At 40.6% G+C, this 26950-nt stretch overlaps 1 protein-coding gene across 14 annotated transcripts in view, besides 1 other annotated feature; it reads right to left on the minus strand.

Moving 5' to 3' along the window:
- The window catches only part of TTC39B (tetratricopeptide repeat domain 39B), a 143595-nt gene that overhangs the window by 36571 nt on the left and 80074 nt on the right, over positions 1 to 26950 (minus strand). For 10 of the 14 annotated variants that reach the window (XM_047422829.1, NM_152574.3, NM_001168340.2 and 7 more), the window contains 5 exons: positions 25725 to 25820; positions 13947 to 14057; positions 11074 to 11205; positions 9896 to 9972; positions 3631 to 3698 (listed from right to left, as the gene is read on the minus strand). In XM_047422829.1, coding sequence (XP_047278785.1) covers positions 3631 to 3698; positions 9896 to 9972; positions 11074 to 11205; positions 13947 to 14057; positions 25725 to 25804 — 468 coding nt within the window. In that variant the 5' untranslated portion in view covers positions 25805 to 25820. Of the gene's footprint in view, positions 1 to 3630; positions 3699 to 9895; positions 9973 to 11073; positions 11206 to 13946; positions 14058 to 24147; positions 24168 to 25724; positions 25821 to 26950 lie in introns of those variants that run through there. The other 4 variants (NM_001168339.2, XM_024447425.2, NM_001168342.2 and 1 more) reach the window with 4 other exon arrangements.
- Positions 5639 to 5933: a silencer, noted in NCBI's record as "tiled region #7105; HepG2 Repressive non-DNase unmatched - State 14:Gen5', and K562 Repressive non-DNase unmatched - State 24:Quies". NCBI's record gives its function as "represses a minimal TATA promoter and a strong SV40 promoter by Sharpr-MPRA in HepG2 and K562 cells {active_cell/tissue: HepG2 | K562}" and the evidence as "EXISTENCE:reporter gene assay evidence [ECO:0000049][PMID:27701403]".

Raw genomic sequence — 26950 nt, forward strand, 5'->3', positions numbered from 1 at the left:
TTAGGGGCCATATGCGGTCCAAATTATTTTAATAAACATTGACATCTACTGAGCAATTTTCTTCTGGGTTTAACAGAATGTAAAATGGATGACTTTAACAATCTGCTCTAAGGCCAAACCTTCCAGTACATTACACCCAGTAAATGGGACAATGGTCCTTCTTTCACAGAGTACTTTAGCAGTCAGAGTCTTTTTAATGTTGCGAATTTTACTCACACACATTTCTAGGCCCAAAATAACTGGTCTGGTTTCTGAAGTGGCTGTCACTACTACACAATTTTGTTTTAGGAAAACAACACCACTTCAATTCTGTTTATCTGATTGTCATCGACCATAAAATTGAGGCTGTTGGCCTAGATGAATGGCATTTTCAGGGTCAGCATTCTAGGATTCTAAGACAATAAATTACATCAAATAACCACTTGAAGGAAGTTACTCTAATAGATGGTACTAGTGGAGACAGTCCTACGTTTTGCATATCCAGAGAGAAAGTTTTTCTAGTCTATTGATATCAGAAAGATGCTCTGGCTGGGCGTGGTGGCTCACGCCTATAATCCCAGCACTTTGGGAGGCCGAGGCGGGTGGATCACCAGGTTAGGAGATCAAGGCCATCCTGGCCAACATGGTGAAACCCCGTCTCTACTAAAAATTCAGAAAGTAGCCGGGCATGGTGGCGGGTGCCTGTAGTCGCAGCTACTCAGGAGGCTGAGGCAGGAGAATCACTTGAACCTGGGAGGTGGAGGTTGCAGTGAGCCAAGATCGCGCCACTGCACTCCAGCCTGGTGACAGAGCGAGACTCCATCTCAAAACAATAAATAAAAAGAAGAAAAAAGAAAGATGCTCTGATATGTATTTCTCGTGTACTTAAGCATCCTTCTGTAGCAAAAGAAAAACTGAATTTCATTTACTAATTTCATTAATTGCTTAAATATTTAATGTTCTAATTATTATAAGAATCAATAGATATGAAATTCAATGTTTATCTTCTTAAATTAAGGAATCTTATGATTACATAAAATCCAATACCAACCAGAAAAGAATTTCTTAAATTAGCTTGAAATATACCTCAAAAAAAAAAAAACAAACATATCTCATTTCAGGATTCATCAAACTTAAACTTAATGCCTATTTTATACCAGGCACCCAAATGCAAAAACAGATGAAAGTAATACAATATGTTAAGGGAGGGCGTCAAGCACGGGGAGGGAGCCATGCACGGGGACGGGATCATGCATGGGATGTCATGAGAACACAAAGTAGTGGCATGGAAAGGGCCAGACATGCCTCCTGGAAGCATTGGTGCTTTAAGCACAAAAATAATTAGAAACTGGACAGGTATAGAAAGGCAAAGCAGATGTGAATTTTGTAAGCAAAGTAAAACTCAAGTGGAAAGACAGGGTGGCATTAAGGATCATGATGGGTTTGGCCATGTGTGCATATGTAATTCCACACTGCTGAAGAATCTATTGCAAAGAGAATGACCAAGGAGTTAAGAAAGCTACCTCCAGCCATGCTACTCAAGTATGCAAACCCGTCAGTGGCTTTCAAGGACACCTGTAAGGTGCGGGGGGCGGGTAGGGAACATAGAGAGGAGGTACCAGTTTTGTTTGAAAAAGTACCCCCCTCATTTGTGACATTCTGATACAGAATACTGCCATACTCAATCAATCAGAGCTACTGAATGCTGAAGCAGAGAAGTGACCAGGTCAGAGACTCATTTTTAAGAGGTTACTCAACCCTCAACTGCAGAATAGGGAATGAGCTGAAGGTAAAAGAAATTAGAGAGGGAGAGTCACTAGGTTGCTGTGCAGTCCAGAAAAGAGTAGATAAGCACTTCTTCTAGAACAATGATAGGAAGAGACGGAGCTGCACAATCTTTAAAAGGCTAAAGCAGCATGAATATAAAGGTGACTGGGTGGGAGTCATGAGGAAGAGGGGACAAACATGGATATCTCTTTAATTTCAAATCCCCAAATATAAAATAAGCCTTCAAATCCCAGATTTGATTGCCAAATCCCTGTTTGGAAAACAGAAAAAAACTTGGGCCTCCATGACTATCATTATGATGCTTACTGAGGCAGTAAGACTGTTGTTATCAACCAGTCTTTGTAATGTCTGGGTTTTAGGAAACAGGGTCATGGGCTACAGTGATTCCGTTTTACTAAACCAGAATCCAACCCAAGAGGTAAACCTCCAGGAAAAGAAAGAAGCAACTGTCAAATAATTCAAAAGATTGTGGCTGGGCGCAGTGGCTCACGTCTATAATCCCAGCACTTTGGGAGGCCGAGGTGGGTGGAACACCTGAGGTCAGGAGTTCGAGACCAGCCTGACCAATATGGTGAAACCCTGTCTCTACTGAAAATACAAAAATTAGCCAGGCATGGTGGCACACGTCTGTAATCCCAGCTACTCGGGGGGCTGAGACAGAAGAACTGCTTGAACCCAGGAGGCAGACGTTGCAGTGAGCCGAGATCATGCCACTGTACTCCAGCCTGGGTGACAGAATGAGGCTCCAACCACCCTGCCACCCCTCCCCCACCAAAAAAAAAAAAAAAGATTGTGAGTGAGGGAAGATTTTCCATTTCACAGCTGAATTTCTTTCTGATTTCTTACAATCTCTACCCCACCTCACCCTCACTGTAGCCATCACTACCACCCATGAAGCCATTATGTGAAAGTTTATGTTTTACAGAAGCATTGGAAGATACAGAAATAGGCAAGGTACTGACTGTATCAGTTCCCAGAGGTGAAATTAAAATGGATCATAAGAAAAGGATTGTTTAGTGACTTCTAAAAACTGCTCTTCCAAAGGAAGAAATAAAAGAAAGGAGAATGAGAATATAGAAAGAAGGGGAAAAATAAAATTTGAAGTATACATGCTATGCATGCATAACTGAACTTGACTGAGGCAAGTGGTGTAACAGGGGACACTTCCTCTGCCCGGGCCACTCCCATGTGCGGACTCTACCAGTAGAAAGCGCAAAGGAGAATACTCTCCCGGTTTCCACACAGATGCATCTTAAAATTAGATGTGACGGTTGCAAAGCAGTTTCTTTAAAGTTTCTTTTTTGTTTTTGAGACAAAGTCTTGCTCTGTCACCCAAGGTGAAGTGCAGTGGTAGGACCTCGGCTCACGGAAATCTCCACCTCCCAGGTTCAAGTGATTTTCCTGCCTCAGCCTCCCGGGTAGCTGGGATTACAGGCGCCCGCCACCATGCCTGGCTAATTTTTTTTTTTTTTTGTATTTTCAGTAGAGACAGGGTTTCACCATGTTGGCCAGGCTTGTCTCGAACTCTGGACCTCAGGTGATCCGCCCACCTCAGCCTCCCAAACTGCTAGGATTACAGGCGTGAGCCACCCTGCCTGGCCTAAAGTTTCTTTAAAGACACAGTCTTTAAAGGGCAATGATTCCCAGTGGAGTGCAATTTGAAATAGATTCTTAAGTGCAGTAGAGGAGGAACAAAGCTCTCTAGCATCTTTTTTCAGCCAAAGTTTATCAGAATAACAAATATTTGCCATTACAACTCTAAGTCAAAAGAACTGAAGCTTTGACATAGAATGCACCACATTTTTCTATGCAGCACTGGCAGTCTTCCCAGCCAATACGAATTCCAAGCCAAATATTCATTACCTGCACAAACGTGAGTGCAGCTTTCTGTAGGAGACACTCGGCATAACAGATTTCAGCATGCATTTCCTCTACAAAAAACAAATAAAATTATATTAAGTAAAATCACACATCCAAAGTGATTGCTCTGTGATGTTCAGGAAAGACTGGCAGAAAAATGAACCCAAGAGAGACCCCAAAACTTAGATTGCCCTTGTGCTTCCACAAAAGTGGAATGATAACCCCAGTTCTCACTTTGTCAGGAAGATTTTCCTGGAATGTGTGAAGTGTTCAGGGAAGTCATCCCCATTCAAATGTAACTGCAAAGAGTCAGTCACTTCGTATCAGAGACGCAAACTCAACTCACAAGGGGAAATGAACATTTAAAAGCACTTTTTTAAAAAAGGAAACCACTTATTTTTTAACTTAATTAGTAACATAAAACTTTGGCTGTGCGTGGTGGTTTACGCCTGTAATCCCAGCACTTTGGGAGGCCGAGGTGGGTGGATCACCTGAGGTCAGGAGATCGAGACCAGCCTGACCAACAGGCAGAAACCCCATCTCTACTAAAAATACAAAAATTAGCCAGGCGTGGTGGCACATGCCTGTAATCCCAGCTATTCGGGAGGCTGAGGTAGGAGAATCACTTGAACCCGGGAGGTGGAGGTTGCAGTGAGCCGAGATTGCGCCATTGCACTCCAGCCCGGGCAACAAGAGTGAAACTCCATCTCAAAAAGAAAAAAAAAAAACAACTTTCACACAGTTTTAAAAGTTGAAAAAAACTAAATTAAATGTATGAATGCTAGCTTCTAAAATATGAAGGTATGGTAACCATGACACTAACCAGACACATTAGCTACCTGAAAAGAAAGCAGCAATTCTCTAGAGCTCGGTGAAAAAGAAATGTCCTGCACGGCCACGTTAAGACTCCTCACACATGAAGACCTGATATAGAAAGAGGTAGCACTACCCCAGTTTCAGGCTAATTTGATCATGTAGATGTCTAGCACAAGAACAAGGTACTCACAAAAAGGGGTTAGGTGGGGCTCTGTGCATCCCAGGGACCTGCGGAGTACCCCAAAACACACACCCTAGCTTCCCAACCAACCATTATACTTGCAGAGGATGGAGAGACAAACCTTTACTTTTTTCCATACACAAGTCAGCAGATTCTTGCTCTATCCATGGGATGCAAAGTGGCATGATATTTAAGTAAACGAGCCTGGGGTATTTAGGAGCCTGAGCTGCTAAAAAGGCTCTGCCATGTACGAGCTATGGGACCTCGTCCCCTCTCTGCTGGTTTCCTCATTTATAAAGGCCACTAACGCCGCCTCTAGTTCACAGCTGAAGGATCAAATGAAGTGCTGCACATAGAGCTCATGATACAGAGTAAGCACTGGATCAGTGCTAACTACGTGCACTGAGATTACTGCCCATGATCCGTGTCACTGCTTTTTGGTAAAAGCTCAGAAAGAAGAAAGCATTTTTATGTGGACTGTGACTGAAAATAGGGTATTTCTTATTATTGGGATTAGTGCTAAATAGACTTAGATGACAACAAGTACTTTCTTGCACTTATACACATAGATGCCACCCCCACCCTACACACACATACAACCCACTGGTTCTCATAAATTGGTTCAAGTTCCTGCCATGCTCATATTCCAATGTTTAATTTACAAAGAAGCACCTCTGCAGCTAAGGTCTTCAACAGTACACAGAAAGATGGGGCCAAAGCCATTAACAGACCAAACTTGAGGAGTTAGAGCCTGCACATCCACAGTCAGGGTCTCAGTCCTTCAGAACACCTCTCCTCAAAGTGTGCCTAGTGATTTTCTAGCTGTGTTCAGCGGGATACCAACTGGTAACTTATTTTTACCCAGTCACCTGAATATCCTCTTCCTAGGTAATTCTGTAACAGAGTGAGAACCAGGAATTATGAGCTATGAAAGTCTGCTCAGGAATACAGATTGCTGGCTTGGGGTACATGCAGAGGGGATGAAGTCCGTGGTGGTGATGGCAGCGGTGGGGGAGCCGGGGCGGAGGGGACTGTGCTGGTAACAGGAGCAAGGAAAGCCAAGAGCACCTTCAGGAAAAGCCAGTCAAGGGAGGAGACATCAATGAGGCTGGAAGGGCTCAGTCAAGGCTCAATTATAAGTGGCCTTGAATGTTAGAGTCTGCACTTGATTCAGGAAGCAACAGTGAGTCAGTCCCTGCAGAGATCTGAGCAGACGGGTGGGCAGATCAGGGTTAAGTGAAAGATGAACAAAGTTAAGAGCAGCATGGGGATGTGACAACAAGGCAGACAGAAAAGGCATGAGAGTTTGAACTTTGTATTCTGCAAATAAGTATCTGTCATATTAAATCCCTTTCACATCCCAGGCACTCATTGCATTTAAATATCTGTTTGTAAAGGCAATTTGAAACCCATTTGGGGCAATCCGCCAGCCACAAGAGAAAAGAACTAGTATGTTCCACATTAAAACCATGAAAAGTTTAATGAAATATACTCACTCCTGTAGACAACCAGACACTCAAGGATGTAAATGAAAATTACCAAGAGGAAAAACAAATCACACACTAAAGCTACAATGTTTTGACATGCTCCCTTGAACACAAAGTCTGTTTGGGTTGCAGTTGACAGCCAAACTCACTAAGAATAAAATACAGCTTAATTTATAAAAGTCTTATTCTTTCACTGTGGTTGATTTACATTGCATAGTTCTTTAGTTCTCAAAATTAGCCATTAGGCACTTATGAGTAGGTAACTACCAGAATATCTCTTAATTATAAATTCCTTAGTCCACAGGAGTAAATATCTTCATGATGCACTGAAATAATGTTAGCTAAGCTAAATAAACTTAGCTAAATAAGCTAAGTTTATTTAGATATGAAAGTCTAAATAAACCTGTATTTCATAATAGGCTATAGTCACAAGTTTATTAGTTTATTTTTTTTATTTATGTAGAGACAGGTTCTTGCTCTGTCACCCAGGGTGGAGTACAGGGGCATGATCTGCACTCACTGCAACCTCTGTGATATGGTTAGGCTTTGTGTCCTCACCCAAATCTCATCTTGAATTGTAATCCCCATAATCCCCTTGTATCAAGGGTGGGAACTGGTGGGAGATGTTTGGATCATGGGGGTGGTTTCTCCCATGCTGTTCTCATGACAGTGAGTGAGTTCTCACGAGATCTGATGGTTTTATAAGTGTTTGACAAGTTCCTCCTACACGCACTTCTCCTTCCTGCCACCTTGTGAAGAAGGTACCTTGCTTCCTCTTTGCCTCCTGCCATGACTTTAAGTTTCCTGAGGTCTCCCCAGCTATGCAGAACTATGAGTCAATTAAACCTCTTTCCTTTATAAATTACCCAGTCCTGGGCAGTTCTTTAGAGTAGTGTGAAAATGGACTAATACATTCCACCTCCTGGGCTCAAGGGATCCTCCCACCTTAGCCTCCCAAGTAGCTGGGATTACAGGCACAAGCCACCAGGCCCAGCCTACTTTTTATAATTAGTAAAAAGTAATTTTCTACCTTATTCCAGATTTCCTAAAGTGCCATTGTTCAAAGACATTATAAAAATATAACAACACAGTATCATCTATTTTCAAGATGACTAACACAGAAATAATTCATTATTTCCTTCATCCGTATATGACACATTTCATGCCCTTCTCTACTTGCCTATAGGAGAAAGTGTGGGTTACAGTGAAAGAGTTGTGGCTTAGGGAAAGGCAGATGATCAGTTAACCCTACTCTGCTAGGTGGGGAATCCTGGCCATTTGTTTATAACTCTGATCAGTTCCAAGTCTACAAAGAGGAGGTTAGATTGGTTAATGTTAAGAAAAGCAACAAGGACAGTATATAGCACATACAGGATGCTTTTTAAAAATGGAGGATTATCAGCTGGGCACGGTGGCTCACACCTGTAATCCCAGTACTTCGGGAGGCTGAGGCGGGCGGATCACAAGGTCAGGAGATTGAGACATCCTGGCTAACGTGGTGAAACCCCGTCTCTACTAAAAATACAAAAAATTAGCCAGGCGTGGTGGCGGGCACCTGTAATCCCAGCTACTCGGGAGGCTGAGGCAGAAGAATGGTGTGAACCTGGGAGGCGGAGCTTGCAGTGAGCTGAGATCATGCCACTGCACTCCAGCCTGGGCAACAGAGTGAGACTTGGTCTCAAAAAAAAAAAAAAAAAAAAAGGAGCATTATCATCTTATTTTTCAAATTATTATTATTATTTTTGAGACAGAGTATTACTCTGTCACCCAGGCAGAAGTGCAGTGGCGCGATCTCGGCTCACTGCAACCTCCACCTCCTGGGTTCAAGCTCCCGCCTCAGCCTCCTGAGAAGCTGGGACTATAGGTGTGCGCCACCATGCCTGGCTAATTTTTATATTTTTAGTAGAGACGGGGTTTCACCATGTTGGCCAGGCTCGTCTGTAACTCCTGACCTTGTGATCCACCCGCCTCGGCCTCCCAAAGTGCTGGGATTACAGGTGTGAGCCACCACACCCGGCCAAATTATTATTATTATTTATACTCATACAAAAAATACCATGTCATTCATGCCAAAATGCAGCTAAAAAAAATCTCAAATATCAGCCTTCATACTAAAAGGAAAAAGGGAGGCAGAGGTCAATGGGCCACTAGAGGGAAACCATAGAGAGAGTAACAGAAAGGAGAATACAACAAAAAGGTTCAATTTCTTTTGGGCCTATTTGATTTCTCATTAACCCATTTTAGTGAACTTTAGGTCTAACGGGACTAATTTACATAAGCAGCTCAAAGATGGAAAATATGCAGACACATTCTATCCGAAGTCAAGAGGATAAATACATTCTTACAAATAGTTGGAGGTCAGTTTCTGGAGAAAAAGATGATGGGTTTCAGCTGCCTAGAATGACCAATGAAATGCCATTCTGTTTGACCATGGTTTTGGGGTCAACATCATGCCCCTTTGAAATAAGTCCCAAAGATGTGAAATGTCTCATAATTCCTCTCCTATAATCAATACTCTAGCTTCACATCATGCAAATGTTCCCAAGTTCTCCAACGTCCATAACAAGTTGATAATACTCATCTAACAAAATAAACAAAACTTCCTAATAAAACACACTCAAAAATATGTCTGACATACACTTGACCATTAGAAACTACTCTGACAGCAATATCCAGAATTGCTCTTGCTCTAATCAGCCAAAGCTACTTCTAGTAGCTTTGTATTTTGTGTTCTCTAGTATGGTATATTCTAGTATTTTGTGTTACCTCTTCAGAGAACATGTTTGACAATGGCAATACAGGCACAGATTCTCCTGGGATGGCAAAAGCTTTATTCTACAATAGTGACATTTGAAGGACTTTTTTTTTTCCTTCTACAGGAATATTTAGATGCTCCTTTCTTGTAAACTATTGTGGACTAGAGTGTAACACTGAAAAGACAGAACTGATCATGAACCTTCTGCCCTAGTCCCAGGGGGCACGTCAAGCAATTGACAGCAACAGGGGTCATTTCCTCCCATCTATCTGATCAGGGTGCCGCAGCCAGCCATTCCTGGATTCTTGAATATTCCTAAATGTCCACAAACCAAGCATCTTCCATACTGTGAAACATTATCATTTTTAAAAGATATCAAAATTACTTTCACTTTGAAAAAAATGTTTAATAGCTTGTGGAAAACTGAAACTCTCAAAGATGAATGCTAAGAATATAAACTGACCTATATGTAGAAAAAAACTGGGAATACCTATAAATATTGTAAGTTTTCAAACTGTCAGTCCTGGTTCTTCCACTTTTAGGAATCTATCTTATGAAATAACTTTTTAAAATGCATGAATCCATATGTATAAGGATTCTAGGACACCATTATTCATATCAGTGAAAAAATAAAAACCATAGAGAAAAGCCAAGTAAAGTACAGTATATCAATCCTATGGAATACCACACAGCTGTTAAACACTCACATGTAACGATCTGGGGAAGTGTCAATGTCAAATTCACATTGTAGGACAACACCTATTATGTGATTCTATGCTTGCAAAAAAAAAATGAACAATCCATGAGCAACAACAAAAACCTTATGTGTACCTTATTTATGTATTTGAGTATGTACACAGAAAAGGCTTCAAAATGAACTATTAACAATGATTTCTTCCAGAGGGTGAGTATGATAGGGAAGAGAAAAAGACATTCCATTTACTTTATATACTTCAGGATGGAATTTTATGAGATGATCATTTAACTATTAAAATCAAGGAAAAAAGTGATCTTTTAAATGACTTTTACCTTCACTCAGTTGCTCCAGGGATCCTCTAGAAAGAAGACTTGAGAAAGATTCTACAACTGTGTATTTTTTCCTGTATCTACATTGAATAAATAAAAAGGGAGATAGAAAATAGAAAAAAAAAATCAGGCTGAGCTCATTTTCATTTGACGTTCATTTCAGTCACTATCACACCAAAGAGTCAAAAAGCTGAAACTCTAAACCCTGAAGTCTATAGGACACAGATCATCCTTTTCCAACACTCTACATGCAGCACTGGCTAGCCATTTGTGGGAACTCAGTCTGTGCTACTGAACACCACGTGGGGAAACCCACACACACCAATGAAAACTAACCTCCAAAGTACCTTCCCTTATCCCTATAACTAAAATCAGTATTTGTGGTAAAATTCTCCACAGGTTAAAAATGAAGTTAAAGTGCAATATTTGGAAGCTCTCTTCATTTGAGGAGCTTACAACACAATTACATCAGGATGTAATTTCACCCATGTTAACCTTCTGATCATGAACCTTCTGCCCTAGTCCTATGGGGGGCACATCAAGCAATTGACAGCAACAGGGGTCATTTCCTCCCATCCATCTGATCAGGGTGCTGCAGCCAGCCATTCCTGGATTCTTGAATATTCCTAAATGTCCACAAACCAAGCATCTTCCATACTGTGAAACACCTATCATTTTTTAAAAGATATCAAAATAACTTACCCCTTGAAAAAAATTTTGATAGGGTCTTCCTATACACACAAAGTAAAGCTTAAAATAAAACTAAAAATCTATCTCATTTTCACCAAACAAAAGTGTTCAAAAACAGGTCCTTCTTAAACAAATAAAACATTCCCTCATGAATTTGCATCTCCCACTTAAAACAAGAATGTTCCTTGTGTGGCTTGGTTTGGCATGCAGTACCTAATGTCATCTACATTGAGAGATGCTTGCTGCTAATCCCACTGAAATCCCCCCGAAATCCCCCCCAGATCTCTGTAGCTCAGACCCCAGGCTATCAAAAAGAAAAGTGGAATATGTAGATGCCAAATGGGAATCCTTCAGCTTCGAGGCTGAATTTCTTTTCTGTAACTGTGGCCAATTTCAAACACAGAGCTTTTGGTCAGGCAAATGACATTATTTTTGTCACACAGGCATAAAAGTTTGCAGTCACATCTTAAGTATTTAATGACTCGTCATACTTTTGGCAGGTTTGTAAAGCGTCCTTCATGGCAGAAATGCCGTTCTGGATGTCCTGTTGCTCGAAGGTCAGGACAGCCTGCAACACCACAATGGTACTGTAGCCCAAGGCATGGTACATACTCTCCTTAGCCCTGGGAAGAACACAGGGAATTCAGACATTTTAATTCAATGGAAATACTGATCATAAGAAATCCTAGTAAATGCATGTCCTGACTTGCACAGTAACCTTTATTCCTTCACCATAATCACTGAAATTATATGGGTGGTGAAAAGTAACCTCTTAAAAACTCAAGTACCAAGGACTTTCCAATGTAAACCCACACAGGCAGAACAAAATGTTCCAGGTTGAAGGGGACAATATGCATTTCCCTATTTCAACACAAGAGGGCAGCCTGCAGGCAGATTGCAAGCAAACTGTTTTCTGTTGAAAAAGGGGCAGCACACGGCCTTTGGCTCTGAAATAAGTGCTAAAATAAAGGCCGCTGGAAATGTATTTTTTGACAGAGAGATTCTGATATATTTTTTCAAAAATAAAGGCTTATATAAAATAATCCCTCTCCTCGCCAGCCAAAGGCCAAGAGCAAACAAGATTTTGGAATAAGTTAGGCTGGTCACAAGAGCCATGACCAAAGTAGTTGTCAGACCTTGTATCTAGTCTAATCCCATTATCTGAAGTTCCTGATTAAAGTTCTTGATATTTCAAATCATCAAGTTACAGTGAGAACTGCTTCAGGATTCTTAAGGATGTTAACTAGAACTAGTCCTAATAGATGGCAGACATCCAGATTCTCGGGCTATGAGAACATCATTTATTTTCTCAAAACTTCTTAAGCTGTATTAATTATTTATAAGGTTTAAAATGGTAATGCATGGTTTTGTTTTTAATTTAAATATTAATGCATAACAGCCTGCTGCCATGCAAAACAAATGCAAGCCACATTATTCTTTGCCTCCATGGAAATAGTCTAAACATCCTTTGGTAATTTGCAGCTTGTCCTGAACATTGAGGGCACTATCTGTTCAAAAGAACCACAAGGAATCAGAGCAGCCCAAAGTTAATCATTAATTGTGGTTTCAAACCTCACATTTTTAACTGAAAGCTCTTTCAAGAAGCAAAAAAAAAAAAAAAAATGATTCAAGTGAGGGAAAAGTATTTTTATTTATTTAATTTTTTTTGAGACAGAGCTTCGCTCTTGTTGCCCAGGCTGAAGTACAATGGCACAATCTCGGCTCACCACAACCTCCGCCTCCCGGGTTCAAGTGATTCTCCTGCCTCGGCTTCCCGAGTAGCTGGGATTACAGGCATGCACCACCATGCCTGGCTAATTTTTTGTATTTTTAGTAGAGACAGGGTTTCTCCCTGTTGGTCAGGCTGGTCTCGAACTCCCGACCTCAGGTGATCCATCTGCCTCGGCCTCCCAAAGTGCTGGGATTACAGGCGTGAGCCATTTAAACACTGAAACATGTACAAAAATCGGAGACTAACCTGACTGAACACAACACTAAATCACCTATTTTCATTCCATGTTATGACCAGCTGTGTGTCAGTGGCAGAGAAAGACTCGTTTGAATAAAAATCAAAGGAGATAATGGATACAAAAATACAGTTAAATGGAAGCAATAACTTCTAGTATTTAATAATAGAGAAATTATAATTAACAATAATTTATCATTATTTCAAAATAGCTAGAAGAGAATAATTATAAATGTTCCTGACACTAAGAACAGATAAATGTTTGAGGTGATGGATAACCCAGTTAACCTGATCGATCACTGAACACTGTATACAGGTAAGGAATTATCACATGTACTCCAAAAATAGGTACAACTATGGCTCATCAATAAAAGCATTTAAAAACCCAAAGAAGACAGGCAAGTAGGCTGAGAAAAGAGAAGGAGAGACTGAGAGAGGGAAAGACAAGCAGACAAAAGGAGGTAGAGACAGGAGACAAAGAAGTCTGAGGGACAGAGGAGGACAGAAGGAAAAAAGCAGAGGACAGGCAAGGTGGAGATTGTGAGGCAAATATTGAAGACAACACTGGAAAATTTCCTTAGACTACAGGGCTTCATTATCGATTTCATCATTTGTTCTTAACCTGTGAAACAATAGCTGACCCATCTTGATTACAGCTATTCTAAATCTTAACACAATTACCATAGCAGCTCCTCAGCAGGTCAATCAATCTCTAAGATTCACATGACCAGAGTCCAGTCACCCTGGTAACCACTCAAAGTAAGGAACGAGATTGCCGACTTTTATGCCCAAGTAATCTTGGAAATTATCATATGAGGTCTAAGCTTCATCTAAGCAAGTGTTTGAGGGCACAATGTACGATTATTCTTGTCAAGACAAAGGCCGAGTAAACAGGCAAGCACAGGTTTTATTGCCACATCTGAAAACTTAACAGGTACTATTAATTGAAATTAAATTGCTTGTTTTTCGAACAAATAGAGAACCCCAATAATAGTCTTCTTATCTTAAATTTCTTAATAGCATTGAGATCAGCATATTCTGGTTTTTCCCCTCCCCATTTCAAAGGAAAATTTTCTCAATAATATTTAAAAGGAACAAACATAAAAACATTTCACTGAAGAAAGCAAAATTGAAGCCTTATAAAACTACTTATAAGATGACAATATCTGAACAAGAGAGATTAAAATATGCAAAACAATCAGAAATTTTCTATTAATTATATTTGAAAACTCAGATTTCTAAATTGAATTTTAAAAGTGACCAAAGTAAAGAGGTCTGAACTAAATTAGCTTATCAATATTCAGATGGGAACAGCTAAATTAATTTACAAGCATGACATCAAAGAATCATCAGAAACATCTGAAAGATATTTTATCTAAAAGAGACAAAGTAAATTACCAGGGGCGAAGCAATTCTAAGGCGTCTGTAAATTTGTTGCTTAGAAATAAGTTCAATGCCACAGCACATTCTTCGAGGCCACTCTTGAGATCCACCTTGGTTGATGATGAACTAAAGATCAAGAAAAAAGCACAGAGAATTTCTATAGCTTTACGATCAGCAAGTTGTCCGAAGGGAGTGTGTGTGTGTGTGTGTGTGTGTGTGTGTGTCTGTGTGTGTGTGTCTGTGTGTGTGTCTGTGTGTGGATTCTGGAGACAGGACAGGCTGGTTATACATAGGAAAAAAATGTGCTTCATTGGAAAACCATGCACTGTTGAGACTCTAGAGGAGACCTCTACAGGTAATTAGATTCTGATTCTCAGGGAAATTACAACTCTGTAAATCGTAGGTAACTAATAGCAGTGCAAAATAACTGTTGTCTATAGGCATGTTAATTTTGTCCTGGCCAGTAGAGGTTCAACTAACTTCCCTCCCCGACCGTGGAATAAGTTAGTTTTCCTGAATTTGCATATTAATTTCAACAGTACTTTACTTCACAGAAATTTGTTCTGTTTTGATTTCTCCTTTGAACCTGTTATAACATCTGCCAAATGTCCTCATCTATAATTAATAATCAGTGATTAAATAAAATCCTTAACATGTTCATTTTTGTATCTATATGAGTCATGATTTTATCCTTTTTTGAAAATTATATATTAATCACTTATGATTGACAGAGATTTTGTTCTTTAAAGCCATCTCTAAAATGTTTTGTGTAACGACTTGCAAAAGGGAAATATTTCAATAAGTAAATGAGCAGTAGGATGATTTGGCAAACAAAACTGCTGATAAGAAATAAACCAGCACGCATGTTTGGCTCATGCCCGGCACTTTAGGAGACTGAGGCAGGAGGAATGCTTGAGGCCGGGAGCTCAAGACCAGCCTGGGCAACAGAGTGAGCACTCGTCTCTATAAAAAAGTTTTTTTAAATAGCCAGGCATGTGGTGTGTGCCTGTAATCCCAGCTACAGGCATTGCAGTGGGAGGATGCTTGAGCTCAGGAGTTTGTGGCTGTAGTGAGCCATGATCACGCCACTGTACTCCAGCCTGAGCGATAGAGACTTTGTCTCAAAAAAATAAAATGAGGCTGGGTGTGGTGGCTGATTACAGGCTCAAAGTGCCTGTAATCTCAGCACTTTGGGAGGCCAAGGCAGGTGAATCACTTGAGGTCAGGAGTGAGAGACCACCCTGACCAACATGGTGAAACCCCGTCTCTACTAAAAATACAAAACTAGCTGGGTGTGGTGGCACATGCCTGTAATCCCAGCTACTCGGGAGGCTGAGGCAGGAGAATCACTTGAACCCAGGAGGTGGAGGTTGCAATGAGCCAAGATTGCACCACTGTACTCCAGCCTGGGCGACAAGAGTGAAACTCCATCTCAAAAAAAATAAATAAATGAGACAGGCACGGTGGCTCATGCCTCTAATCCCAGCACTTTGGGAGGCCGAGGCAGGTGGATCATTTGAGGTCAGGAGTTTGAGACCAGCCTGGCCAACATGGTGAAACCCCGTCTCTACTAAAAATACAAAAATTAGCTAGGCTGGGTGTGGTGGTGCATTCTTTATAATCCCAGCTACTCAGGAGGCTGAGGCAGGAGAATTGCTTGAACCTGGAAGGCAGAGGTTGCAGTGAGCCAAGACCATGCCACTGCACTCCAGCCTGGGCAACAGAACGAGACGCTATCTCAAAAACTAAATAAATAAATAAATAAAATGAAATAAAAATAAATAAACTTGGTAAGTATTTGAAGTTGAGCTTCCATCCCACCAACCTCTTCAATTTCATTCTTTAAAACATGAAAGCAAAGTGCCCCTTCAGTGACTCTTCTAGCACGAATAGGTTATGAAGGCAAGGCCAGAACCCCTCTCTCCTCGCAGGTCTTCTCAAGGCTCCTTCTTGTTATTCAGATCTAATCTAACGCAGAGCAGCCTGGCTGACCCCATCCCATCCTGTCTCAGGGTTTTTTCTCCCACCATTATTACCATCCAAAAGTATCTTGTGCATGTAGCATTTGTAGACATGCTTGTCTGTCTTTCCTCTCTAGGACATAAATGCAAGGAGGTTGTTTTAGTCATTCCTGTGCACCAGTGCCTTCGACAATACCTAGAACATATTACGTGCTCAAAAAATATGTTGAGTGGTAAATGGGTGGATGGACGGGTACAACTGCTCTGAGTAGAAACAGAGACTTCTTCATGCCTAGAGTTTGAGACACCTCCTCTAGGATGGAGTAGAACCGAGGCAAGCTCTTGATGGAGGGCTAAGAATTGCTTTGCCCTTAAGTTTCCAGTGAATGAAGAGATCATGTAAGAATGCTAGGAGTTCATAAACCTCTCACGGCAAGATTTTTCACAAGAAAGTTGCCTGACACCTCCTATAACAGTCCATCACGAAATTTTGTCAGTGTTACATTCTGAACATCTCTTGAATTTATCCTGTCTCATCTCTACCGTCCAGTCCAGGTTGGTCACTGTGTGTTGCCTGGGGTCTATAGACCCATTTCTTTCCCCATCGCCTACCTCTGTCCCCCTCATCAAATATTTGCCTAAAGCCCTTTCAACTAATATTTATGCTAAATATGTGCCAGGTACTCTTCTAGGTTCTGGCGATACAGCAATGAACAAGACACACAGGAACCCAGGCTCTCAAAGAGCTTTCATTCTACTGGAGAAGGGAAGACAGATTTGCACAAGTAGACCAAGAACTGACCAGGGTCATCCCTGATTGGGATAAGTGGTCTGGAAGAGAACCTAGTTTTGGTGGGAGGCAGGGGTGAGGAGAAGGCCCAACATTACTGAGGATGGTCAGGAAAAGCTCTCCAAAAAGGTGACATCCAATTGCTGTATAATGGAGCCAGCGATGGGAATATCTAGGTTGAGGGCAGAGGGGGGATTCTAAACTGGGAATGTGATGAGCAAGGCAGAGAATGAGAGAAAATGAGGACAGAAAACAGGCAAAAGCCAGAAACCATAGTGGCAGAGAGGATGTATTTTATTCTTTGAACAAAAGAAAATACATCAGCTCTGAAATCCTCACTCTTTTTCTCAACATCCGTTCCCTTCGAATATTAGGTGTTCCCATTTTAACTCCTGCCAATTCTCGCTAAGGTTACACCTCATCCTTCATTACCAGGAAACAGACTGTGAACAGATACTAGTCCTCTTGCCAAACATCCACCTCTGCATCTCAGCTGGCCACACTGTCACCTGGGAGGATACACTATACACACCCCCACTTAGATACACAAAGTGGGAGCTCAGCACCTCCGAGCACATAAACTCAGCTCTTCTGAGTGGTTTACGATGATGCTCACCTGGAATTAACACCCCTCTCCAGCACACTAGGGCTACCATGGGTTCTGTAAGGAATGACCAGGAGAGCAACTTTCACCATGGCCAAGACTTCTGTCAAGTATCTCTCGGACACACGTGTTCCTCTTCATTTCCACTGCCATCACATTAATTGAGACTCTCATCACTTCAGATCTGAATTCTGAAATGCTCTCCAAGAATGCCTTCCTACTACTGCTTTGACTCCATGGTTCTCAAACTCCAGCACACATCAGACACACTGGGATACCACTCTCAGGTTACTCTTCTCTTCCTAAAACAGATGCTCATCATTCTGCCTCCTCAGATTAAGAACCTAAAGTAGCTACCCACACCTACCACATGAACTGGAAATTGGCTCACCATACCTGTCCAACCAGACCGGAATGATGAGCAAGGCAATTTAAAAACAGCCCAGTATAGCCAGGTGCGGTGGCTCACGCCTGTAATCCCAGCACTTTGGGAGGCCGAGGTGGGTGGATCACGAGGTCAGGAGCTCCAGACCAGCCTGGCCAACATGGTGAAACCCCGTCTCTACTCAAAATACAAAAATTAGCTGGGCATGGTGGCTCACACCTGTAATCCCAACCACTGCGGAGGTTGCAGTGAGCTGAGATCGCGCCACTGCATTCCAGTCTGGCAACAGAGCGAGACTCTGTCTCAAAAAAAAAAAAAAAAAAAAAGCACTCCAGCATTTTTTGCAAGAGGCTCATCAGCATAGCATCCCCCTCAAGTATAGCATGATGTAAATAATGAAAAGATTCCTGGACTGGAAATTAGAAGTCAGCCAAGCCATTCTCTAGCCTTGTGACCTTCACAATGTCCCTTAACTTCCCTGAGTCCCTAGGCTCATCTTTGAAGTGCTCTCACTTCACAATGTCTGCAGAAGCAAAGGCAATGGTTGTTATGAGTGTGTTTTGTGAACTTTCAAGCCCTATGCAAGTTAACAACCATGTCTAACTCTCCAAAAACTGTGGTGCTCAGCCCACATATTCATATTCCTGCCCTGCTAGAGACATGCCCGAGTGCCCTTCATAATATATATCTTCAGTGAGGTGACGACTCCTCATGTTTCTAATTTAAAAGATATGTTAAGTTAAGGCAGGATGAATTTTTTAGTCTATTTTAAATATATATATATAATGAACACATAACTTATAAAAATTTGGAACTATACTATATCATTATCACTTACATTCCAATTCTTACTTTAGTAATTACTTTATAAGCTTGGTTACAAAAAAAACTTCATAGTAAATGAGCATCTGGGCTCTGGAATCAGATCCTTTTATTCATTTCCTGACTCCCTTTTGCCTCAAGAGAAGTCAAATGTTTCCCACAATATATTGGTTCCACTGAAACTGTGATCCTAGAGAACTAGGCTGCAGCCTCCCAAGGCCATTTTCTATTACTTTTCTGGAGGTTTTGTCTCTTTCCTCTAGCAATCATAATTTTTACTCGCTTATGTTAGACAGGGAAATAACTGGTGACTTTTTTCTCCTCTTTCCAAATTATCTGAACTCTGCTCACATTACTTTTACAATGAAAAACTGATTTATAAAAATTTTGAAACATAAAAGTAGTATTTTAAATAAGAACAAAGGAAAAGTCTTTTCTCTACCACTTCCCAGTTCTGTAACCTTGAACAACTCACTTTACCTCTGTAAGTCTCAGCTTCCTTATCTGTAAGATAGGGATCATTAAGTCTGCAGTTACTACTATAAAAAGTAGTTGTAAAGATGGAGGAAGCTCCTGGAATTAAAAGTATAAGCATTTATATATATTGAGGCATTACTACAATTCTCCAGAAGTGTCAACCTGCCCCAACTCCCCTGCTAAGAACCACATATGCACACATACATGGTGACCTGGCAGTTTCTCTGCACTTTGCTCATAATCTGATGACCTTCTACTATTAATATATCTGATTCATAAGATCTATTGATTAAAAGGTAAAAAAGGGATTTTATTGTGTTACAATAAATAAAAGTCTACAAAACCAATATATAATAATCATATCCCCTCACCCTTCTCCCCTGAAGCAGGTGACAAGACCCTCATCCAAGAGGTGCCCTCCCTGTACCCTGAGGAAAGGAACATCCTTATCTCCGACACCTCGGACTTCCCTGAGTAGGGACTTCACTAGATGAATGCTCCTGGACTTTCCTCTCCCTCCTCCCCTCTTCATTCCTCCTCTGAGAAAGGAATTAATTATCTGATTGGTGAGTTGGAAAGAAACACAGGGCATAAATGGCCCAGCCCCTTTCTTACAGGGAAAGAGGGTGCAGAAAAGTCTATTCTCTCAGCGATGCAGTGAGCTAGTAGGGCAGGCTCTACTGCCCCACACCGCCCAACCATGACCCTCACAAGGGAGGCCTGCACTTTAGGGCTGAAATTCCATTCAGAGCTATGTCAAAAAGAAGCCCATTTTTCCACGCATCTAAGCTATAATACATTCTCCAACATAGTCTTTGTGAATAACGAAGCTGAGAATTTGATCTCCATACGTCTGACTCTTGCATCAATATTTCAACTTAGGCCAAAAAGGAACCTTTTTTCCAAAGTGAGAACTAAACACTTAGAATCTGTATGCACAGAATGATGGGCAGACAAGTTTACTCTTCAGAGACTTTTACTAATTTGTGTGGAAGTATCCAGGGTTCTTTTGCAAGCCAATCCAAATCCAAGTCCCCTGCACCTGTGGACTCCAGACCTCCCTGCCCTCAAGAGCTCCATGGCAAGAAGTCTCAGGTCTATTGATTCAGCTGTGTGGAGTCCAGAATCTCAGAAGCAACTGTGGCTGGACAGCCAGACTACAGAAACTCCTGCTACCATTTCTCATTAGTTATCCAAGGGAGAGGAGGGACCCCATAAGCTCATAGTCTACAGTGGGCTGTGTTAGATGGCGAGACTTCCAAGAAAGTCATTAACCTCTCCAAATCTTTGTTTCCTCAGCTATGAAAAGTATATGAGGATATGACAATATCCACCCAACAGGTATTATTAACATTGCCGTTATGAGCATCAGAAAAGATAAAAATGCAGATGTAAAAGGTAAAAATGCAAATACATAATGCAATAAAAGGAATGATATAAATATTACATCTAAGAAAGAATAATAGGGTGCTCATCCTTCAGACTCAAATGGGGAAGCAGAGTTTTTTTTTTCTTTTCATTTCCAAATAATTTCAGGCTTCCAAAAAGTTGGAAAAATAGGACAGAGTTTGTATAACCAGTTCCCCTAGATAACATCTTACATAACACTTTTGAAGGGTGCTGGCAATTATTTTGTAGCATGGCCCTTTGGTCTGTCTGATGTTTCCTCATGATCAGATTCAGGCTACACATTTTGGGCAAGAGTCTACAGCCACATCACCCTGAACACACCCGATCTTGTCTGATTTTGGAAGCTAAGCAAGGTCGAGCCTGGTTAGTACTTGGACAAGAGACATTTTGGGCAAGAAAACCACAGCAGTGATGCCGAGTTCTCAGTGCATGATATCAGGGCTACGAGCTGCATGCACATATCTGGTGATGACCGCATAGCTAGGGTGGTGTCTACTGTGAGGTTACTACTGTTCCCTTGGGAGTCACTAAGCATCTTCAGGGGAGGTTCTCAAGACTCTGCAGATACCCCGTTTCACAACACACATTGCCCCCTAACTTTAGTGTCCACTGAGTGTTCTTGTCTGTACCCATTACCACTGTGGTTTGTCAAACAGCAATTTTCCGTTCCCATCATTTCTTCTACATTAGTCAGAATGAGTAGGGAAGAGCTCTCCCTCCCACCACTGACATGTTTACCCAATTATTTATATACTATGAACACATTCATATTAATTGATTCTGTGGGCTATATAACTCATTACAGTCATTATTTATTTTCTTTCTCAAATTGTCCCGGATTTGGCAATTGGAAGCTCCTTTATGTTGCTCCCATGTTCTTTCGACAAGCCCTGTCCTTTTTTTCAGCAATTCTTTACTTTCTGGCACAAGATCTTCTAGGTTCATCTTGTACTTTCCCTGCCCTGGTGCTGGAATGAGCCAGGAGCCTTGGTCTCTTTTGTTAGAGAATGGCATCAGAACTGAGGCCTTGGGTGCCAGGGGTCTCTGCGTCTAGGCCCTAGAAGAGCAGAGTTCTGACCCAGAGCCACCCCTGTGTGCCGCAGTGCTTCAAGCTATGTCTACTTTAGTAGATCTGTTAATTAACAGAAAGAGTTGGGTTTTGTTCATTTTTTTAAAAAAGCACTTAGTCTACATAACCAAAACATGATATATAAATTCCTTTAAATTATTATACCTTAATGCCCCTTCTTCCTATCCTGATTTGTTAATAAGCACAATTATAATAAGTTGCTTTTCAGTATTGCATTGTTACATATGGTAACACTTTTACATTGCCCAATATGTCTCTAATAAAAATAGCTTATTTTGAAATGGCTTCTTGGCAAACACTGGTAACTACTCTGGTTAAGCAACTAAGCCAGATCATTAGGTGAAGGCTAAATGAATTCGGAAGAAGCAAGAAAGAGTAACGTAAGTACAGTCAGAAGGTGGGATGTATTCCCAAAAACCTGCCTCAGCTTTCCCGAGCTCAGTCAAGGGTTTCTTTTGTCGTAGTTGTTAAACTAAGAGGGATCGTTCCAAGAGGGAATGGTACAGATGTGATAATGGCATGGAAAATACACCTGGCACTCTTCTAACACAAAGGAGGTAAAAGCTAGACTTTATGTAATAACAGCTGGGAAATCTGTCCTGCATTCTTTTTTTAAATTGTGGTAAAATACACATAGCATAAAATTATCATCTTAACCATTTTAAAGCACACAGCTCGGTGGTGTTAAGTATATTCACACAGTGTGAACCACACAGGTGTGGTTCATCACTTCAATCTTTAGAACTTTCTCAGCTTGCAAAACTGAAACTCTGTACTCATTAAACAACTCCCTCTATCCTACATTCTTTACTAACCAATCCAAGGGAGAGTCACCCTCTTCTCTCAAAAGCCCTTGGCCAACATTTTGCCGTAACCTTCATGATTGAGCCATTTGGACAACTCATCCCACTAAACCAGTCTCTGGAACTCAGTCTCCGGAGCAGCCAGAACTCCCTGTGTAATTCTGGGATTTCCCAATGCCAACCTTGATTTGGTAACTAAAGCTACCAAAGTTCTGTACCCACACTGGGCTGACATATCTAGGCTTGGTAAGTGAACTACAAAGAAGTCTATGAAAGGTTTTCTCTCCGTTCCTTTAATTCTAAGGCCCTAGACCCCTGTTCTGTTTTGATGACTTTCTCAAGTAAATAAAAAAGACACACTTTCTCTTAGAGACTGTAAATTGAGTAACCTTGTGTTCAGCCCATTTCCTATGGAAAAATACATATTTGATGAGCCAACAACAGGTCTCCCACCTCTAATGAAGAGATGTGGTAAGAGGAGAAAGTAAAGTGATGACAAAGCTCTGGCCAGGGTGCAGAGTCTTTCCTCATTTTTCCAGGGACCTTAACACAGTTGTTTCAACAACTAGTTTGTAAACAGATTTGAAGTGATGAACACAAAACTGTCAAATGTCTTAAAGTTTGTCACTGGTGCCCTTTAGGACAATGGCAGGAAATTCTAATTCCAAGAATTTGAGAGTGACAAGGCATTTTAGCTGATCATGTACTTCTCTGGATATGAGGATCCTTTTGTGGGAAGATTCTCTCTTGGCTCTTTCAAGGTTGGAGGGAGAATCGCAAGAAACCATGGTTGTCAAAACACTCTGTAAGACTAAACAAGTGAAAGGGATTACAAGTAAGGAGGCAAATGAGTTTCTTAAAGGTGCACCAGCCCAGAAATTAGAAGGTGGAGCATCAAGATGTAATTCCACCACTGCCTGGCTGTTGCACTTGGCTATGTCACTTGACATCCGGGGTGTCTCACTTGTTAAATGGTGACCCAAACTCTCTCCTTGGCTGCCTCACAACTTTGTGTTAAGAAGCAAATAGCTAGTTGTGGAATGAGGAGTACCAGGAGGAGTAACATATGAGGTATGGCGCTATCATTTTCTGTTCAGACTAACTCCATAAGAGCCACACTTCTTGTCCACATCCAAGCTTCCTCCACTTTGCCAAGTGTCATTTTAGGCTGCTTCACATTATGTTTATTCTTCAACACATGCATTAGAAGACCTATCAATTAAAAGGCAGAGTGAGAATGTCTGTTGTTTAGTTTTTAAAAAGAAAAAGACTATGAAAACTGCAAATGTGAGTACAGGTTGAGCATCCCTAATCTGAAAATCCAAAATTGAAATGCTCCAAAATCTGAAACTTTTTGAGCACCCACATGACACTCAAAAAAAAAAAAAAATGCTCACTAGAGTATTTTGGATCTTTGGATTAGGGATGCCCACCCTGTGCTATCATGAAAACACTTCTCAATTATTTCTTATATTTCACCTCCATTTCCTCTTTTATATAACTTTAACCTCTTCCTCTCTTTGACTCCTTCCCGACTCAGAAATATACACAAATCTCATTCATTTCTATTTAAAGTAAAACTAGCAAGAAAGATAACTCCCTCAATCTTGCTTTCTCTCCTAACACACCCTTCTCCCACTCCTTCTATTCACAGGCAAGAGCTTCAGAAAACAAATGATGCTCACTCTCCCTACTTCCCCACCTCCCACTGACCTTTAGCCATGCTGCCTGACTCCTGCCTCAACTTCCCTAAAACCTTATGAGCTAAAGGTCTCCAATGACCTAACTATGAAATGCAAAGGATACTTTTCCACCTGTATCCATGAAGACCTCTTTGCCACACCTGGCTCTGCTGACTGCATTCCAGAACTCACCCTTCCCCCAAGTCCCTTGCCTGTCCTGTGGCCACCAACTTGTAGTCTTCCTCTCTCACACATCTATGTAGCTCTTGTTTGAACGGTCACTGTCTCAGCCATGCTTCAATGTTCTGTGTTCCCAAAAGGTTCCTTCCTCCATTCTCTTCTCTTTTGTTATGGCTCTCTGGGAAATACAGGTGTGGTTCATCACTTCAACAACTACGTGCATGCTAAAGACTTCCAGTCTACAGATGCAGCTTGTTGCTGCCTGTGCGTGTCATGCCCTTATTTATTAATGCTTTCAGTAATTTTTATTTATTTTATTAGAGCTTTCAAACTCAGCATTATAAATGTTGATACAGTAGTTACTTAGGAAACTATCGAATGAGTTAGAGGATAACTATGAAGGAAGAGCACTTCTTTTTGAAGAAAACACAAAATTCCATGAGCAGGAATTTTACACACACAGTAAAAAAAAGGATATGGAAAACAAATGCCTTAAGATCCTTAGAAGTTATTTTCACTTTATCTCCATTCTGTAACCTTTTCTATATATTGCGAGGGTAGAATCCTAAGACAAACTACCAAACCCATGAGTATAAAGAACACACGCATAGCTGAAATTTCAAATGCAAAATCCAAAATGCTAAGTAAAGGATCTGCTGTATAATTCTAAAAGTTTAATAAACCTCTAAGGATGGATGAAAAGTACTTTCTCATGTACTAGAACAGCTTTAACAGAGCTGCCTTAATAACTCATAAAAAAAACCTTCATGTTCAAAGAGAGAATCTGTTAATTCTAAAATGATCTGGAAAGGAACAAAAATTAACCAAGTATGATACCACAGAAAAATATCTAATGGAAGGGGAAAATATCACGATATATTAAATTTTAAGAAGTAGATTACTGAACAGTATATTTAATATGATTCCAATTAAGAAAAAAATTTAATATCTCTATATTTGAGGAGAAAAAGAATACACACAAAAATAATCAGGATTATAGTAATACATATTTCATTCTCTTTGTGCTTTCTATAGCTCTGAATTTTCTACAATGAACACTTCTTAAAATATATTTTTAAACCAAGATTATGCAAAAAATGTAAGAAAGAAATAATCATAATATAATATTTGACGAAAAAATCTATTATGGTTACAACTGTATCAAGAAGCACATGCCTAGGAAAAAGACTGGAAGGAAATACACCAAAATTCTGTGTTCAAGTGATCATCATTATGGTTGTTTCTCCTTTCCTCCATTTTCCCCAATGTTTGGCAGTGTGATTTATTATTTTATAATAAAAATAATAGCTAAAAATATTTAAAGATAAAAGCGACTTGAAAGGGAGTTGTGCCCCAAAGTTGAATTTTGTTTTGCTTTCATGTAACAGTGCCACCTATTCACTGAGTCCCTGAGCAGCCACCGTATCTCCTTCCCTGATTTATAAAATGGGCACTCTACTTGCCTAGGCCTCTCCTGACCTCATTGGTTTGTCAAACGCAATGCACTATGCAAATATCAGTATTATATTCCTTCAAGGGTGGGACTGTCCTCCCCTCTTCCCCCAGGAATGCCCACAACCCTTCCTGACCTGCTGACAGTAGACGCTCCGCGCTGTCTGGGCGCCTGTTGTGTATCACATGATGCAAAGTGAAGGCTGCTTGTTGCCATATCTGAGTGAGAAGATCTGTTAATTAAAAAGGCAGAGCAAGGTTTTTTATTTCTTTGTCCTGTGAGAAAAGTCTACACCAGTGCAATTACACAACATAAGTCTTCCAATTATTTTTATACATCTTACCTCCATTTCTTATCAATTTTAAAAATCAAGTAACAAAAATCTACTGTTATGTGTCAAACATTCCTGAAATACAGCCCTAATAACTTTATTTTTTCATTCTAGTACACAAAAAATAAGTTAACTGAAATTACTCCACAGGTCTCCACCCAAAGATAGGATTGTATCTTGTATATATCCGTCCAGGTTTTTTCCCAAGTAAATCTATACATATTTTAATAAAACTTTATTAAAGATACTTATTATAATGGGTTATGGTATACAGTATAATGGATTACATATAGGAATTATTCTGAATCTTTTCTTCTCAATAAATCCAGAGTTGCTTTATCATAGCATCTGCAACATGCTGCTGACTGGAAATAATGATAATTTGTTACCTGTCCCTCATTTTCAGGCATGTAGGTTACTCCCAAAGTTTTGGCATTACAAACTACTGTTAATAAGCCCCTTTACTCACTTGCCTAATTATTTCCAAAAAATACATTCCCGAAGGCAATGGTACTTATTTTGTAAAGTACTTTATTTTTAATAAACTGTCTAATTTCCCACTAAATACACACCACAGAAAGCTGAAGTAACATAAAGAAGGTAAGGACCAATTTGCCTTGCAGAATCTTCGGCCAGTTTGTTGACCCACAGATATCTGACAGGCACACAATGGGGGCAGGTCCACTCAGAGAAGGAAATTTCCAGAAAGAGTTTAAGAGTAAGTCCTGCCCTGTATTACAATAGAATTGCCAATCTCCTTCCATTTCCACTCACCTTAACAGTACACATTTCACAGAGAAGAGCTAGAGTCATTAAAAAAAGAGGTAAAGTCATTAAAAAAAGAGGAGAAGTTTTGCGTGTTTTTTTGTGGTTGTTTTTTGTTTTTGTTTTTGTTTTTTAATTCTAAGATGTACAATGGGTGCAGTGGCTCACGCCTGTAATCTCAGCACTTTGGGAGGCCGAGGCAGGTGGATCACCCGAGGTCAGGAGTTCGAGACCAGCCTGGCCAACATGGTGAAACTCCGTCTCTA

This window comes from Homo sapiens, chromosome 9 (genome assembly GCF_000001405.40).
Source record: "Homo sapiens chromosome 9, GRCh38.p14 Primary Assembly".
Lineage (NCBI taxonomy): Eukaryota > Metazoa > Chordata > Mammalia > Primates > Hominidae > Homo > Homo sapiens.